Source organism: Homo sapiens, chromosome 3 (genome assembly GCF_000001405.40).
Source record: "Homo sapiens chromosome 3, GRCh38.p14 Primary Assembly".
NCBI classification, from domain to species: domain Eukaryota; kingdom Metazoa; phylum Chordata; class Mammalia; order Primates; family Hominidae; genus Homo; species Homo sapiens.
The window spans coordinates 159,761,712-159,777,727 of NC_000003.12; the positions used below are offsets into that span (position 1 = coordinate 159,761,712).

A 16,016-nucleotide genomic window follows, 5' to 3' on the forward strand; every position below is an offset into this window, starting at 1 on the left:
ATAATTTAAAAGTACAGGTAATTCAAAGATGTTTATATTTGGCTTTGAAATGCCATGCATTTTTGGCACTAGACTTACTTTGCCAAACATTTTTCTTAGGCCTTATTTTGCATTCCCTGAACATGGACCATCTGGGCAACAGGGGGATGAGCCCAGAGCTCAGAGGGAGTCTGGGTGGGTGGCTGAGGAGGTCCTAATATTCAAAACTTGGAATGAAACCACAACTCTCTCTCATCACCCCAGGTGATCAGTACTTATCTGTCTACCTGTGTCCTGCCACAGAGCAGGGAGCTTTTTGTGATCTAAGCCATGCCATGTCATATGGTGAACTGAAAAACAGCTATCTAATTCCCAGCACACCAAATGTTTCCTACTTACATCTTCCTACTCACAGGGCCACCTCCACCCCGCTGGAGTGGCAGGCAGGGCTCCACAGCAATCTCAAAATCAAACCGTATTTGGAGCACAAGACAGGCTGTTTACAGATGTTACCATAAAAGACAATTTAAATAATCATCAGTACCGTTTTACAAAACAGCTGGCCAGACCGGAAGGCCCCTTTTCCAGTTATTCCTAAGATTGCTGCTTCCAGAGGAGTTGAAAGGTTAGATTACCTTCCCTGGCTCAGGTCTACCTAGCACAGGAGAGTCGTGCCTCACAGAAATCACTTCAAAAAGGATCTCAGCACCACATCCCACTAGGGCTTAGAAGAATCCTCAGGGTGGCAGCCACTCCCTACTTAGGAATCCCATGCATTCCCCTCTTCTTCCATCTGGACTGTGCCACGCCAGGGAATTCATTTGGTCCAGGCTAGAATTCACTGGGAACAATTAGCAACAGGCCCAAATCTGGAAGTTCAGAGAAATTGGTTCTCTCCGATTTGTTATAAAATTAAGTAATATTTTTCACAATCACCACAGAGAAAAGGGCATTTCCTAGTTTCCCAGTTCTTACAGGTCAGAATGGTTGGTTCACAGGAAATCCTTAGTAGGCGCTCTGTGATGCATCTATGTTTTTCCAAGTGTTGGTATTTTTCATTTAATAGAACCTTCTTCCAAAGGAGATTAGCTGCCAGACTCAGGCAGCCCGTACGTTTTTGAAAACGCCAGCATAGGTTTGACTCAGGTACCTGAAATATCTAAGGAAGCAAAGGCAGCGGATGTGCCAAGGGCACCCTCACCTGATATCTACCTCTTCCCCTCCTTTAAGGTCCCCTTGATTGGAGGTGGCGGAAAGAGTCTCTGGTGGCTCGCCCAACCCTTTAGAACATTCGCCCCTACCCGCTTCCCCTGTCTCCTTGCCAGGCAGGAGTCCTTTCTCGCACTTACCCTCCATTCCCCTTACACACACCTCGCTGAGGTCATCCTCAGCGTGCAGCCCGGAGGGGAAGGGAAACGTGAGCTAAAGCAACAGGTTCCACCCACAGCCTGAACTTGGAAGGGGATGCGGCGGCGGCAAGGCGGCTGGAGCTGCGCGGTGGAGGGAGAGGAAGCGGCGAGGAGGAAGGTGGAAGGGAAATGATGGTGCATGACCACCGAGCACACGTCACTCGGGCTCCCACATGGGCTTGTGTATGTGCGTGTGTGAGGGGAGGGAGGTCCTTCACAGGGTCACTCGGGCACTTCCGCGTGGAATAGGAGGCGCCAGGCTCGTGCTTTGGGATGCCGGGTGGCTTCGGCGGGGTAACGAGTCACGCAGAGACGGCTTGAGGCAAGCCAAGAAAATACGGGTGTCGGCGTGAAAATACACCACTCTTCCCAGCGCGCCGCCCTTGCTAACTGGCTGGACCTGCGCCCCTAACGCCCAGTGCCCCCTTCTTTTGGGCCTATCTTGGCCCCTCCAACCCCATCCCAGCCTGCCTCCTGCTCCAGCCTGCCGCCGCGAAAACCGGGACTGCGGACTGCGCCGCGCCCGGCAGCCTCTGGGCATGCTCGGTGGCGGGACCGGCTCCACCGCCAGGAGGGCGCGTCCTCCCTCCCCTAGGGCGGTGACGGCGCCTGCAGCGACTTGCCGCCGCGCCCCGGCCAGGCACACCTTTTGGGGAGGCGGGGGACCACCCTGCCCGGCGTGGGCCGAGAGCGCCCCCCACCCCGAGCCTTCCGGCGGGTGGGAGGAGGGGCCGGCCAGGGAGACGCGGAGGCGGGAGTGAGACCTCCGACTGCCAGCGGTTCCTTACAAAGTAAAGCTCAGCTCGCGCGCGGACCCGGGCTCCCAGCCGCGGGCGGGGAAGGGGCGGGGCGGGGCGGGGCCGGGCCGGGCCGGGCCGGGGCGGGGGGTGGTCTCAGCGCCTAGAGCGAGATGCGAAATTAGTAGCCGCCCACCCCCTTCTCAGTTCCCGCCCCCAGGGAATTATAATTTCCTGGGAAAGTGTCTGGTTCTCGGAGAATCCTTGGGGCGGGGTAAAGGGGCGCGCCTGGCGCAAAATGGTTAATACAAAGTCTGCGCGCGCCGCGGGGCCCCTTGTATGAAAAGTGTGCGCGCTGGTGGCTGGGCACCCCTTTGCTAATTTGAGGGTTAGTTACCGGCAGGAAGTCTGGTTGTGCGAGAGGAAAGGCGGGCAGGAGGGAAGCCTCAGGCTGGTGCTGGCTCCCGCCCCCAGGCCTCCTTGGGGGACGCACCTCTGACCCAGCGGGCGCAGGGTGCGGGGCACTGAGCCGGGGCATTTGGGGCGGGTGGCGGGAGGCTGGAGCAGGCTTGGCCCAGCAGCTCACTCTCTACCTCCTCCCCCTAGGATTACCGAGAGGATGGGATGGATCTAGGCAGTGACGCCGGCAGCAGCAGCAGCAGCAGCCGCGCCAGTTCACAGTCCAACTCCACCAAAGTGACCCCTTGCTCCGAGTGCAAATCTTCATCGTCGCCGGGGGGCAGCCTGGACTTGGTGTCTGCCCTGGAGGACTATGAGGAGCCCTTCCCGGTCTACCAGAAGAAGGTGATTGATGAGTGGGCGCCGGAGGAGGACGGGGAGGAGGAGGAAGAGGAGGACGAGCGCGACCAGCGAGGGTACCGGGATGACCGCTCTCCGGCCCGGGAACCGGGGGACGTAAGCGCCAGGACCCGCAGCGGCGGCGGCGGGGGCAGGAGCGCCACCACCGCCATGCCGCCCCCGGTGCCCAACGGCAACCTCCACCAGCACGACCCCCAGGACCTCAGGCACAATGGCAACGTGGTGGTGGCTGGCCGGCCGAGCTGTTCCCGGGGCCCCCGCCGGGCGATCCAAAAGCCCCAGCCGGCTGGGGGCCGGCGCAGTGGCCGCGGCCCGGCGGCTGGGGGGCTCTGCCTTCAGCCCCCAGACGGCGGGACGTGCGTCCCCGAAGAGCCCCCGGTGCCACCTATGGATTGGGAGGCGCTGGAGAAGCATCTGGCCGGGCTGCAGTTCCGGGAGCAGGAGGTACGGAACCAGGGCCAGGCGAGGACCAACTCCACCTCCGTAAGTTGGCCGGGGTGCGTGCCCACGCGCGCACACACGCGTACACACCCCGCGCACAGCCCGCACGCCCCCTCCCTGCGCTCCCGCCCGCCCGCGGCCCCATTCATTCTTCCTCGAGGGTGGGGGCCAGGCCAGAGAGCCTGCCGTCTGCTCCCCTGGGGATAAGGTTGCTCGGTCTGTGAGCTGTCTGGGTTTGCAGGATGGGCGGAGAGGAAGGAGGAGCAGCCAGAGGGCAGCGGAAAGTCGGGTTAGTGGAACCGGCGACTCATTTTAATGGAATTACTTATGGAGACCAGGTTGTGAGTCACTTGCCTGAAAATAAATCCGGGGAGATTCTGGCACCAAAAGTCAGTGCCTGCGGGGGATATTTCAAATCGTAATAGTTGTGGCTTTGTCAATCGTGGTGGCTCTCCTCTCGTTGCCACTAATGTCTCATCCATATATAGGCTTGTTCCTATGCACACGCACACATTCGCCTGCCCACACCACCGGTCTGGCAGCGGGGTTCGTTCCGTCTTGTGTTAAGCAGATGCTCCTGTATTTGAATGGGTTGATTTTCCTCCTCTAAGACTTTCTTCCTTTATGAAACCCGAGTTATTGTTGACCTGGGGGAACGGGGTAAATGGACCTGTCAGGATAAGGGAGGGGTTCTTCCCTCGGTCGCCTGACTCACTCCCTCTGCTGTGAATCCCTCCTTGTTTTGATAACGGAGCCACTTACAGTTTCTTCCCGGAGGCTACTGCCTCAATTCAGGAAAGCCAGACAGGGAGGGGTGCTGGAGTGGAAAAGAGGGAGGGAGGAGAGGAGGGCTGCATCTATAATAAGAAGCACTGGCAGGTTCACACTTGTCTCAACATCTTTTTTGCCCCTGAGAGAAGAGCAGATAAATGACTTAAAAGAAAACCATCATGAAGGTAGCTCCCCTGTTTAGCACTGCTTTGAGATAAAGCAACAGTTGTAATTTGAAATCATTAATGATGACCCTAATTAGGGCTGAAGGGCGTAGTTGAAAGGAGCTGCTTTCTGTGTGTGGCAGCTGTGTGGCAGGTGGGAAAATGCTTGCCTTGCGGGTGTAATTTTTGCGACACCAGGACCCCGGGGCTCCTGAAAATTGGGTGCATGCACTTCTGACTTCAGGGGTGAGGATGGTAACTGTGTTTCACAGAGAAATTGCCATGGTTCTATCAGAGAGCGCCCTTGGCTGACAGAGCCTGCTGGTTAGTTTCCCTTGGGAAACTACTTAATAAATTAGCATACTCATTTTAATTCCAGCTGTTTAGGAGTTTACCATGGCCATTAACAGACGTGGAATCTTTCCATTACAGTCAATACTATCTCTTATACCTTGCAATAGAAAATATCCTTTTCCCACTTTGTGCTTGAGAAAAATACCTCATTAATACCTGGGCTTGAACAATGAGTGGGAAATAAGCAGGAGGTTAGTTTGCTATTGCGTGACATTTATACATTCCAGGAAAATTTAGTACTTGGGTATACATGCAAAGTTAGGGTTTGATGGTGACAATGAGCTCCATTATTCAAAAGTTGTGGAACAAATTGTTTTTGAGCACCCATGTATGTGCTGTGTGCCAGGGATGGTTCTGAGTGCTGTAGTTACACATCAGTCCACATGGGGCTGAAATTCTGGTGAGGGAAGGGTAGGGATACAGACTGCCTTCCCTCCAGGAACTTAAAATTTGATGGCTTACCTAGCACCACCTCATACCCCCACCCCCAACGCATCTTCTGGTTATTGTGAAGACTATGAATCTTTCCTTCTTGGGCAGTCTTTGAAACCAATGGTGTATCCTCACCTAGTGAACAGTTTGCATATTTGCATATTTGGGTTTCTTTCCTTCACTTCCAGCTTTCCTGGAAATGCCCCTTCTGGTCATTTCCTCTACAAGTTACACAGAGAAATTTAGATTTCATTGTGTCAAAGCAAGGATGTATACAGAAAAAAGGGAGAAGGAGGTAGCATTTGAGGTTAATGGTGGATTTTTTCATGTTTTGGTTTGTGTTTGAACAAAATTACTAGTCAGTGTTGGTTTAGAATACTGTTTTTCAAACAGTAAGTTTCCCATGAAATCACCTTAGCATTTAAAAAAATGAAATAAAATAGAATGTATGATAGTGTATTGCAGGGAGTCATAGTAAAGTTGGTAATTTTTAAAACTTTAGTTTTATATGTATGGTGGGTTGCAACATAAAGTTTACTTCTCACTATGGGTCGCTGTTATAAAAGATTGAAAAGCACTGATTTAAATCCTGTTTAGTGCTGCCTGGAGTACGTAAGGGAATTTATGACCATGAGGACAGAAACCGGAGAAGAACAAAGGAGCCGTGTGGAAGAGAAGGCCTGCCTTGAAGGAACTGTTCAAATCCAATGATATTTTACTCCTCTTTAAAATGTCTTGTATGAATATATTTAAGTGGCATTAATACACACCACTAGGAATGGGGTATACAATGAAAAGGGGATAGCTTCTCTTCACCAAGTAAGCCTATTCCTACTTCAGGGCTTTTGCCCTTCTGTAACCTCTGCTTGGAAGCAAGTGTCTGGTTCCTTCTCATCATTCCAGACTCAGTTCAACTCTCACCAGCTCAGAGAAGCTGTCCCCCACCACCCTTCCTAAAGTAAAGTAACAGCACTGCACCCCAACTCCAGCACTCCTGGTGTATTGTTTTCTTAGTGCTTGTCACTATCTGACATTATCTTATTTAGTCCTCTATTTTTGGTCCCTCTGAAATGTAGGCGGGAGTTCTTGCCTGTTTTTTAACTCTATAACCTATTGCCTGGAACATGCCTGGGATGGAGTAGGTTCTCAAATATTGAATGAATGAATGAATGAATGTTTATGACAACAACACAACCCATACCTAATCCAACTCCCATTTTACAGTTGAGAAAATTGAAGCCCAGAGAGGTTAAGTGATTTGCCTCAGACCCAGTGAGAAACTTATGAACAGGGTTTTGTTCTTTCTTGTGACACCAGACTAGTTCCCCGCCCCCTTTTTTAATGCTTAAAATAATTTGAAATAAAAGGAAAGGAAGGAGCTCCCACCTCCCTGAAACTTAAAGGGTTTCCTATTGACAAGTCTCTTATTGCACTTCCTTAGAATTAAGGACATAAGTAAACTGGGAAATCATCAAAACCCCCTTACTTATGAGTCTTCTTTTGTAGACAGGGTTTTGTATTGTTTTGTTTCAATGACATACTATTGGGTTCTGCAGAGCAGGGTAGTGACAGAATCCATGTCTCCTCACTCCACATCCAGTGCTCTTTCCTTCCTCTTAGTTGTGGTGATGCACGCAGAAGGATGACTGAGGTCTCAAAAATGGGATGACAATCAGCTATCCCTAATTCAGATAAGATTGAGAGGCAAATTTAAAAATGCACAATGTTTAGGTGGGATTTAAAACCTAGCACTGACCTTCACTTTGCGATGGGTTTAGAAAACTAATCTCTCTCTTGGTATCTGTGGAGGATGATGAGCTTGGATGCTGTCAGGAACTATCTTTGGTGTCACAGCATGGAAGGGCCTGGGGAGTCCTGATGGAAACACTCTAGTGACTGGATCCTTGCTCCATCTCAGAGCTGGGGGCTCAAGACAGACCTCCAGCACCTGGTCCAGCCCTCCACTGTGATGTCATCACCTGGGACAGCCATATCCCCAGTAGTTCGCATTGTGCCTGGCACAAATAAATGCTTGAAACATGCAGAGAGGGTGAGGGGCTCTACCCAAAAACCAGAACTACTCCCAGAAGTGCCCCTTCCATGGGCAGCCCCTGCTCATCTGGTGTCAGTGTGCTTCTCACAGTCCTGCCCTGGGCTTGTATTCCGTCTTGTGCGTGAACACTCTTAATAAATTCAAGGGCCATAGATGGAGTAAAGAAAGGTTCTGGGGTTGGTGCCTTTGATGTCAGATTAGGAGTCCTGCTTGCAGAAGTTCATGTTTCTCTTAAATTCTTATCTTCTTGCCTACTCTAACTCTGGTGCACAGGACTGGACAGTTTTCCCTCTTATGAGAGCGGGCCACAAACAGTCGGCTTTCTCTCTTCTGCTTCTCCAGGACCTTAGTGCATCACTGTAGCCCTCTTGCTCCTGTTCAAAAGGCTCTGTGGACCTGTTGCCAAGTGGGGTGGGAGGGGGGGCACTGCCTCAGTGTACTCTTCCTCCTAAATGGAATATAATTACACATCTTTTTCTCTGTGTTTGTCCCTGAGGCTTCCTGTCCTTCATGGGACGTGTTCCTCCATGTCTAGCCTGTTCCCTGTCTCTGGAGACTCAGCCTATTTTGACGCTTTTCTTTAAAAATAGCTTTATTGGCCAGGCATGGTGGCTCAGGCCTGTAATCCCAGCACTTTGGGAGGCCAAGGCAGGCGGATCACCTGAGGTCAGGAGTTCGAGACCAGCCTGGCCAACGTGGTGAAACCCCATCTCTACTAAAAATACAAAAATTAGCCGGGCATGGTGGCGGGCGCCTGTAATCCCAGCTACTCGGGAGGCTGAGGCAGGAGAATCGCTTAAACCCAGGAGGCGGAGGTTGCAGTGAGCCAAGATCACACCATTGCACTCCAGCCTGGGTGACAAGAGTGAAGCTTCGTCTCAAAAATTAAATAAAATAAAATAAAAATAGCTTTATTAAGGTATAAGTGACATACATCAACTGTACATAGTTAAAATGTACAATTTGATGAGTTTTGACATATGTATGGCATATGTATGTGTTTTGACACACCTGTGAAACCATCATGAACATCAAGATAATGAACATATTTAGCATCCCCAAAAGTATCCTTGCACTCCTTTGTAATACCACCATCTTGTCCCTAGGCAACCAACTGATCTGATTTCTATGTTATAGATTAGTTTATGCCTTCTAAAATTAACATAAGTGGAATCACAGTATGTGTGGATTTTTGTGTGGCTTCTTTAACTCAGAAAGTGATTATTTTGAGATTCATCCATGTTATTGTATATATCAGTGGTTCGTTTGAACTCTTGCTGAGTAGTGTTCCATTTTGTGGATATACCATTTTCATCTGTTGTTATACATGTGCATTGTTTCTAGGTTTTGGCTATTACAAATAACATTGTTATGGACACATGTATACACTTTATCTATTTATTTTTGGGGTGAAGTTTTGCTCTTGTCACCCAGGCTGGAGTGCAATGATGCTATCTTGGCTCACTGCCACCTCCGCCTGCTCAGTTCAAGTGATTCTCCTGCCTCAGCCTCCTGAGTAGCTGGGATTACAGGCAGCCACCATCATGCCTGGCTAATTTTTGTATTTTTGTAGAGACGGGGTGTCACCATGTTGGTCAAGCTGATCTTGAACTCCTGACCTCAGGTAATCCGCCCACCTTCGCCTCCCAAAGTGCTGGGATTACAGGTGTGAGCCACTGTGCCGGGCCTGAATATACACTTTCATTTCTCTTGGGTAAATAACTAGAAATAAGAACGGCTTGATCACGTGGTAGGTGTATGTTTACCTGTGTAAGAAGCTGCCTGTCTTCCAAGGAAGTACTATTTTACTTTGCCATCACATGATGCTTAAATCACTGAAAGAGGTTTCCCCTTTTCCCATTGCTCTATTCCATCTGCATCCTGCTTTCCAGGACACCTCCCTTCAGGTGGCTGGGTGGCTGCTCCCTCCCTCTTAAGAGAAAACAACAAGAGAGCAAGGAGATCACTTGTCACATCCAACCAGTCTTTACTCCTGTTGTTTAAAAAAGGAAAGGAATCATTTTTAAATTAGAGAAGAGCTCTAGCTGTAGACTCAACACATTTTAAGTGCAGTTTTATTATTTTTTAGTGCCTCTGACAGGTGCATTTTCCTCATTTAATGAGAAGATAAGAACAATTTTAATTGACACGTTAATTGAAAGCAAATTCTTCTGACGAAGTTATTTCCAAAGTACTTGAAAATAATGTGTCTTTTTATTTGTTTATACTATTAGCTAGTAGCACACTTTTTAAATTACCTACATTTCTTCCTAGAATGGTACTAATTATAGGTTATTTTCAATGTATTATTCTGTAAGAATTACAGCCCAGTTACTTCTTCCCCATCAATGACACACTACTAAAGTAGCTTGAATGGCTGAGTAGTTTATTTCCTTAGTTACTTGGGCTATGTTTAAATTACACAAGTGTCTGTTTTTGTAGACTGAATTAAGATGTCTTTAGTATTCCTACAAAATACAGTAAAGTTTATAAGTTTAATAAGTTGTGTGATTCTGCAGCCTGGGGCACAGCATTGAAAACATTCTGTGTGGAATGCAGCTATCACTTATTCCTGTTAGTTAGAGAGCATGACATGACAGTGTTAAAATTTTTTTTTCTTTTTACTGTAACTGGAAATTACCAGGGTGAAATGTATTCTGTGTTTCAACCTTTTACCTTGAAATATCTAGTACTATAATGAAAAGTTCTTTGCCTACTTTCCTATTTATGATGATTTTTGCTTAAGAGCTGCAAAGGCTGCTCTGTCTACTGGCATGTACTCTAGACTTCAAAGAAATATGGTTAGGTTTTTGTCTTTGTTGTTTTTTTTTTTTTTTAAATTAGGTTGCAGGCAAACCACATGTAAACAATTCTTAAAATTTTGAAAATATACCATTAGTTCTGGGGCTATCTATGTGTATATACAATTAAGTTATTATTGGATGGAGCATTGTATTTTAGAACAGTCTTTGAAAATGTAGTTTGATTAAAATAAATCTTTGCCTACCAATTAGTTTGTACATAGTGGACCTTCAAGACATCCTCAGGAAAATTTTCAGGATGCACATCTAAAAAACAGAGGCAGATATCCTCATCACACTTGAAGAGCTTCTTGAACAACTCACCACTGGCATCACCTCACCTCCCTCCATCCCTTCCTGCTCTGCCTGCATTTCCAGTTCCAGACTCCTTGCTGGCATTCCTGACAGAAATCTTACACCTGACAAAAATCAGGCCAGACTCATCAATTTCTGATTTTGGTTCCCGGCTCTTTTGGTGACATCATAACTACTTTTTTTTCAGACAGTCTCGCTCTGTCGCCCAGGCTGCAGTACAGTGGCACAATCTCGACTCGCTGCAACCCCCATCTCCCAGTTTCAAGCAATTCTCATGCCTCAGCCTCCGGAGTAGCTGGTAGTACTACAGGTGCCCACCACCATGCCCAACTAACTTTTTAGGGATGGGGTTTCTCCATGTTGGCCAGACTGGTCTCGAACTCCTGACCTCAAGTGATCCACCCGCCTTGGCCTCCCAAGTGCTGGGATTATAGGCGTGAGCCACCACGCCCGGCCCATAACTACTTTTATCTTGAATTCTCTCTTGTCTTCTTATGGGTATGTCTCTTAACAGTCCAACTATCTTAAGTCCTCCCTCCCCCTTAAACACATATTACACATTCCCTGAAGTGTAGACATTTTATATACAGTTGTTATCTGGTTGGTTAATGTATTTTGTGCCAGCCTTTCTCTTTAGTTCTTTAATTTACTCAAAGTTGCTACACTATAAACTTTCTTATTAGTGCTAAAGTAGTAATTCCAGGTCCTTTCTTAAAAGCTTATCCAAATGCTGTGATGTTGCATTTGCATTTTATTTATTTATTTATTTTTTGAGACGGAATCTTGCTCTGTCGCCTAGGCTGGAGTACAGTGGCGCAATCTCAGCTCACTGCAAACTCCGCCTCCCGGGTTCAAGTGATTCTCCTGCCTCAGCCTCCTGAGTAGCTGGGACTACAGGTGCCAGCCACCATGCCCGGCTAATTTTTGTATTTTTACTAGAGACGGGATTTCACTATGTTGGCCAGGCTAGTCTCGAACTCCTGACCTCAAGTGATCCGCCTGCCTCAGCCTCCCAAAGTGCTGGGATTACAGGCATGAGCCACTGCGCCCGGCCTACATTTGCACTTTAAAATAGAAATTTGTTTTTATTTCTGGACCTCTGTCGCTGAAGAGATGAATGGTCTTGTTTTCTTACTTTTGAAAATCGGTCCTTAGTGTTTTAATGAAAAGGGCGTTTGCGGGTGCTTTTCCTTAGTTGCTTGATGCTCCCTGTGCTCTCAGCACAAATGCACTTTCTACTGTCACAGGGAGACTATTTTGCACTAAACCTTTGTAGAAATTCAAGTGTCAATTGTGAAATTGAGCATTTTCAATAGAAGGGTAATAGGATTTTAGAGATAGACAGGGATTCTGGGAGATCATCTCATCAAATGCTATTTTCAAAGGAGGAAACTAAGGTCTGTGAAGATTACACATCTTCACCTAACTTCCTCAGCCCAAGCCTGACCCAGCCTCAAGTCACCCGACTCCTAATTCCCACTTTTAATGACCTGTGCCCCCACTTCAGTGCTTCAACAGATGCCACCTTTTTAAATTGTTTTTTTTTTCTTTTAAAAATGAATGGGTGTTCCCCAAATTTAATTTGGAGTACAGATCCAGTTTCATAATTTAAGAGCTTCCAAAACTGGAAGTAGATTCTAATTTTTATCATTTGATAGAAAAGATTTCATTTTGTTGATTTTTTTCTTTTTTTAAACCTATGTTGTCAGAACAATTATAAAATTGCTTTCTTCCTTTTAAACTTCAGCTCATCACTGTGTATATTTCTAGCAACAGAACAGTGCTCTCCCTGGATGATAGAAAGCTAGCGGAGAGAAGATCTCTGTGTGGCTCACCCCACAAGTGAAGACAGATTTTGTTCTATCTAAAGAGTACCCTCCAAAAGGAGAAATAACAAAACCAAGAAAAGGCTAGTAGGAAAGTATTTGTGGGGTTCAGAAGCAGCCCATAAAATAGTCTAGATTAAGATGCCTGGCGTAGTTAGAATATGTGTGAGAACTTCTTATTCCGACTTGTATGCCACTTACTTGTACTTAGAATTTAAAAGGCTTGCTGATTTGTAGTGTTTTTGAGTGTTCCCTGGTGAGAGCAAGAAATAGAAAAATGAATATAAGGACAGGGAAATACATTTGGATTTTTATTTGTGTATTTCCCCAGTTAAATTTGTAGGGCTGAACTGTCCTTAATTATTTGTTTCATATCCAGGATAGTTGTAATAATAATCATTCTCCTTCACTTACCAAGTCTCTCTTAAAATCTGCAAGAGCTCTCCTTGTTTCTCAGATGGTCTTGCTTCTTTTTGTTGTCTGTGTGTTTGTTTTGTCTTAGTTTTGGCTACTACTTCCCTTTTGTGAATAATTATCTTCCTGTCTTCTGAAAATGGAAGATAAAAAAATAATAAAATAAAAAGTAATTGTTGCCCTTTATATATATCTGTTAAATAATTATGTCAAGCATGTTCTCCACTGATCCTTATCACTTGTCTTTATCTGTTCTCATTTATGCATATACTTAATCTAATTTTTTCTCTCCACTGACCGATTTTTCAATATTTGCATCATTTTATGTTATTTTCATTTTTTTCCTACTCTTGGGGTATATTTCCCGTAAAGTGTAGGTAGTTCAAAAGATGATGTTTAGGCTAGGAAAAGCCCAGGTGGTAGGAATGATCCCAACCAGTGTTTTGTTCAGCCCCAGGTTGATAGTTTTTTAAAAGGTACTTGTAAACCCATTTTTTTGCTTCCTCTAACCAATATGAGGTTGTATTAAAGCCAAACTTACTGAAAGCTAAAGTTACCAACTTTCTTAGTCTGACTTTGTGTATCAGATTTTCCAATTATTGCCACTTGTATCTGTACATTTTACTGATGCCTCTGTATCTCCACCCAAACATTTCATATGTATGTGTAATCAAATAACCTCTTTGGCTTATCCATCATCAGCAATATCACATTAATCATTTTTTTTCTTTTTTTTCTTCCATTTCTCAGAGTCTCTTCTTAGTATTTATGGTTCATGAAAGTGACTGTGCATCTTTCTTCCTTGGGATATTAGCATAGTAGACCCAAACAAAAAGCTTCAATTTTTATGGATTCCAAGAAGCAGTGCATTAGTCTGCAGCTGATTTCTGCAAATTCATCAATTCAAGAGGGTTTTATTGCCCATGTCTGAGATGATTGATCCCTTCAAAACTCTGCCGTATAGAAATAAATGTCTTAGTTATTCACAGAGTTAGTTTTTTGTTTTTGTTTTACAAAGTATTACAAAAAGCTTCTATCAGGAAAGTGTGTGGGGTTGGGCTTTTCCAGGTGCAGAGGCAGGTGATTCTCCATTTGCCACAGGTTGCTGGAGCTGCTTTTCAGGATGCTTGGGAAAGGGCAGAAACCCTCTGCAGCCTCCCAGCCAGGCCTGCAGACAGCGGATGGTCTGTCTGTGCCTCCCTGGGCATACCCCAGCTGATTGGGTCATGCTGTTGCCCCTCAGCAGCACACACCCCTTGCTTCCTCCTCTGAGATCTCCCCACTGTGGTCCTCAGCCTGCCTGTTTCGCCTTTCTCTCCTGTGCAGGTTACCAATTCAAAGTCCCTAAGAAAGTGGCTCATCTAGCACAGGGTGCCTCTGGTGGCCAGGACCCCCTGCCAGGCCCACTCTTGTACTGTTTGTTGTTGGAGAGATGAGGGCAGGCACTCCCTAGCCACCCAGCTGTGCCAGTGTTGGCCTGCTCACACGTGGGTTGTAGGCGTGCCTGGAACAAAACAATTGGTAAGTCCTGGCAGCTCCTAAATGAATGTAACTGGATTCTGCTTCCTTCTTGGTTTGCCATATATGGAGAGAACTTTGCTTTCTGAAAAATTTTAAAGGGAATGAGGTAATTTCCTCATAATTCCTAAGATCTCCGGCAGTGTTGTAAATTTAGATTTGAGGTTAGAGTACTAAAAAATAAAAACAAAAGCAGAAAAGCTGCTGTGCTCTGAAATGCCAGGGTGTTTTTAATGTCAAGTCCAGCAGCATAATAGCTTTTACCTCTTTTCCCCACCTAAAGAAAGAGTAGTGTTAAACTTATTTCCAAAATAAAAGGAGTCTGAACCTCTAGGAAACTGGTACAGTATCATCTTAGAAAAGAACCTAAATGCTAATCTACACTCATAAAAATAACATGTTTTCAAATAGTTTCAGAACCAATTCAGTCTCCTGTTTTTCTCTTCATGATACCAGTAGCTAAAAATTACCCTACTTAATGAAAATTGCAGACAATTTTTTTTCTTTATGCAGTCTTACATAATTTTTGGTCCATTTTGACCTAGTCTGACATTTTATTTTGAACAACTACATCTTAAGTGTTCTGTCTTTTTTTTTTTTTTTTTTTTTTGGAAGATTTATTGTGAAGAGCGAAAGAACAAAGCTTCAACAGTGTGGAAGGGGACCTGAATGGGTTGCCCAGTGCTCTGTCCTTTTTGTTTCCACTCTAAAATTGGTTCGGCAAGGAGTAAGAGAGTAGACCACTGGCATTTTATTTTTGAACACTCGAATTGTATAACCAGTAATCTGTTAGAGTTGTTATCCATCTTACAGTGACCCCATCATCTGACCCAAATAGCGTTTAAAATAAGAGCTCGTTCTAGAAGAACAACTTTAGGCAGCAGTAACTTTAAAACATTTTGAATACCTGCTCTACTGTGGTATAGTGATCTAAATATTAGATTTATTTTTCTTGTGTCTCATATAGAAACTCTAAACAAAGCAGATGAACAGTTGTGTCTGTACTAACACGTGACTAAAACCTCTATAGAGTTCCAGTGTGCTGAAAGCCAAATTAAAGTTCTCTTTTTTTAGTAAACAATCACACTGGGAATGAGAATATTAGAGCTAAGAGGGAGGCCAGAGCAAGGGTGGTAAACGCGGATGCTTCCAGAGGTCACATAGATAACCCACTGGAGCAGTGGGCCCAGTGGGAGAGGACCATGGTGTCCTGGAAGGTATGTCCCAGGGGTAAAGGGGCAGCTGCTGTCACTTGCCGCCTGACTTCGTGCCATGCCAGAACATGATGTCAGTGTTCTGATGTGTCAGGAGAAGCCCAAGATCCAAGCCTGAGATGTTATGAGAACTATCTTGACTATTACATATTGGCAAACAACTTTAAACATACATATACATTTGTGAGACTAACAAATATCTGCTGTCCAGAATACTGCCCCTAGGCTACCAGTTACCCATCTTGCTCCTAATCCAACCTCCTCACTTTTCATATGAGAAAACTGAGATCCAAAGAGGCTAAATGTCTTACCTGAAATGAGGATAAGTTGGGGCAAGGTGGGACCATTTGCCAAGAGGTCTGGTGAGATTGTAGAAGTAAGAAATCTTAAGGAGGAAAACCCATGAAGGAGTGTTGCTCTTATTTATTGACACCAGAGTAGCTTTTTTTTTCTCCTTTCAATGCTTAAAATAATGAGAAATAATAACATCCAAAGGAAAAAAACAAGACCCACTACACACCTCTATTTCACTTAATTTTTATACACATCCCATTACTTAGCATTTACTTTTCTCTTTCATCTTCAAAGCAGTTCAAAAATTGATTTGTTATTTGTAGTCAGGGAACTGTGTCATGATTTATTTTTTATTATTTATTAATAATAAAAAGGGAAGAACTCCTTAAGAACAGAGTATCTGAAATATAAACACACACACATATGTGGCCTCAGCTGTTTCATCTGCTAGAAATTCATCTGAGACCACTTAATT

The 16,016-nt window shown here is 45.4% G+C and overlaps 2 protein-coding genes and 1 long non-coding RNA gene across 30 annotated transcripts in view, besides 4 other annotated features; 2 read left to right on the plus strand and 1 right to left on the minus strand.

The window, feature by feature from the left end:
* IQCJ-SCHIP1 (IQCJ-SCHIP1 readthrough) overlaps nt 1–16,016 on the plus strand; it is an 828,041-nt gene that overhangs the window by 692,393 nt on the left and 119,632 nt on the right. For 3 of the 4 annotated variants that reach the window (NM_001197113.2, NM_001197114.2, NM_001414414.1), the window contains one exon: nt 2,732–3,427. The exons of the other annotated variant lie outside the window; for it this stretch is intronic. In NM_001197113.2, coding sequence (NP_001184042.1) covers nt 2,732–3,427 — 696 coding nt within the window. The remainder of the gene's footprint in view (nt 1–2,731; nt 3,428–16,016) is intronic. 4 annotated transcript variants of the gene reach the window in all.
* Nucleotides 1–16,016, plus strand: part of SCHIP1 (schwannomin interacting protein 1) — a 624,116-nt gene that overhangs the window by 488,468 nt on the left and 119,632 nt on the right. For 4 of the 25 annotated variants that reach the window (NM_014575.4, NM_001394284.1, NM_001394286.1 and 1 more), the window contains one exon: nt 2,732–3,427. The exons of 1 other annotated variant lie outside the window; for it this stretch is intronic. In NM_014575.4, coding sequence (NP_055390.1) covers nt 2,732–3,427 — 696 coding nt within the window. Of the gene's footprint in view, nt 1–1,418; nt 1,572–1,970; nt 2,180–2,380; nt 3,428–16,016 lie in introns of those variants that run through there. 20 more of the 25 variants (NM_001197107.2, NM_001394291.1, NM_001394290.1 and 17 more) reach the window with 14 other exon arrangements.
* Nucleotides 1,873–2,092: a silencer, noted in NCBI's record as "silent region_14850". NCBI's record gives its function as "represses an Ori minimal core promoter by ATAC-STARR-seq in GM12878 lymphoblastoid cells {active_cell/tissue: GM12878}" and the evidence as "EXISTENCE:reporter gene assay evidence [ECO:0000049][PMID:35858748]".
* Nucleotides 2,203–2,282: a silencer, noted in NCBI's record as "silent region_14851". NCBI's record gives its function as "represses an Ori minimal core promoter by ATAC-STARR-seq in GM12878 lymphoblastoid cells {active_cell/tissue: GM12878}" and the evidence as "EXISTENCE:reporter gene assay evidence [ECO:0000049][PMID:35858748]".
* Nucleotides 2,381–2,958: an enhancer, noted in NCBI's record as "H3K27ac hESC enhancer chr3:159481881-159482458 (GRCh37/hg19 assembly coordinates)". NCBI's record gives its function as "activates a minimal SCP1, AML or CMV promoter by ChIP-STARR-seq in primed H9 embryonic stem cells {active_cell/tissue: H9 hESC(primed)}" and the evidence as "EXISTENCE:reporter gene assay evidence [ECO:0000049][PMID:30033119]".
* Nucleotides 3,671–6,901, minus strand: IQCJ-SCHIP1-AS1 (IQCJ-SCHIP1 readthrough antisense RNA 1). The gene is made up of 3 exons (NR_121669.1): nt 6,863–6,901; nt 6,593–6,788; nt 3,671–4,032 (listed from the first exon to the last, which is right to left on the minus strand). It is a non-coding gene; the product is annotated as an IQCJ-SCHIP1 readthrough antisense RNA 1 (long non-coding RNA).
* Nucleotides 13,249–13,794: an enhancer, noted in NCBI's record as "H3K27ac-H3K4me1 hESC enhancer chr3:159492749-159493294 (GRCh37/hg19 assembly coordinates)". NCBI's record gives its function as "activates a minimal SCP1, AML or CMV promoter by ChIP-STARR-seq in naive H9 embryonic stem cells {active_cell/tissue: H9 hESC(naive)}" and the evidence as "EXISTENCE:reporter gene assay evidence [ECO:0000049][PMID:30033119]".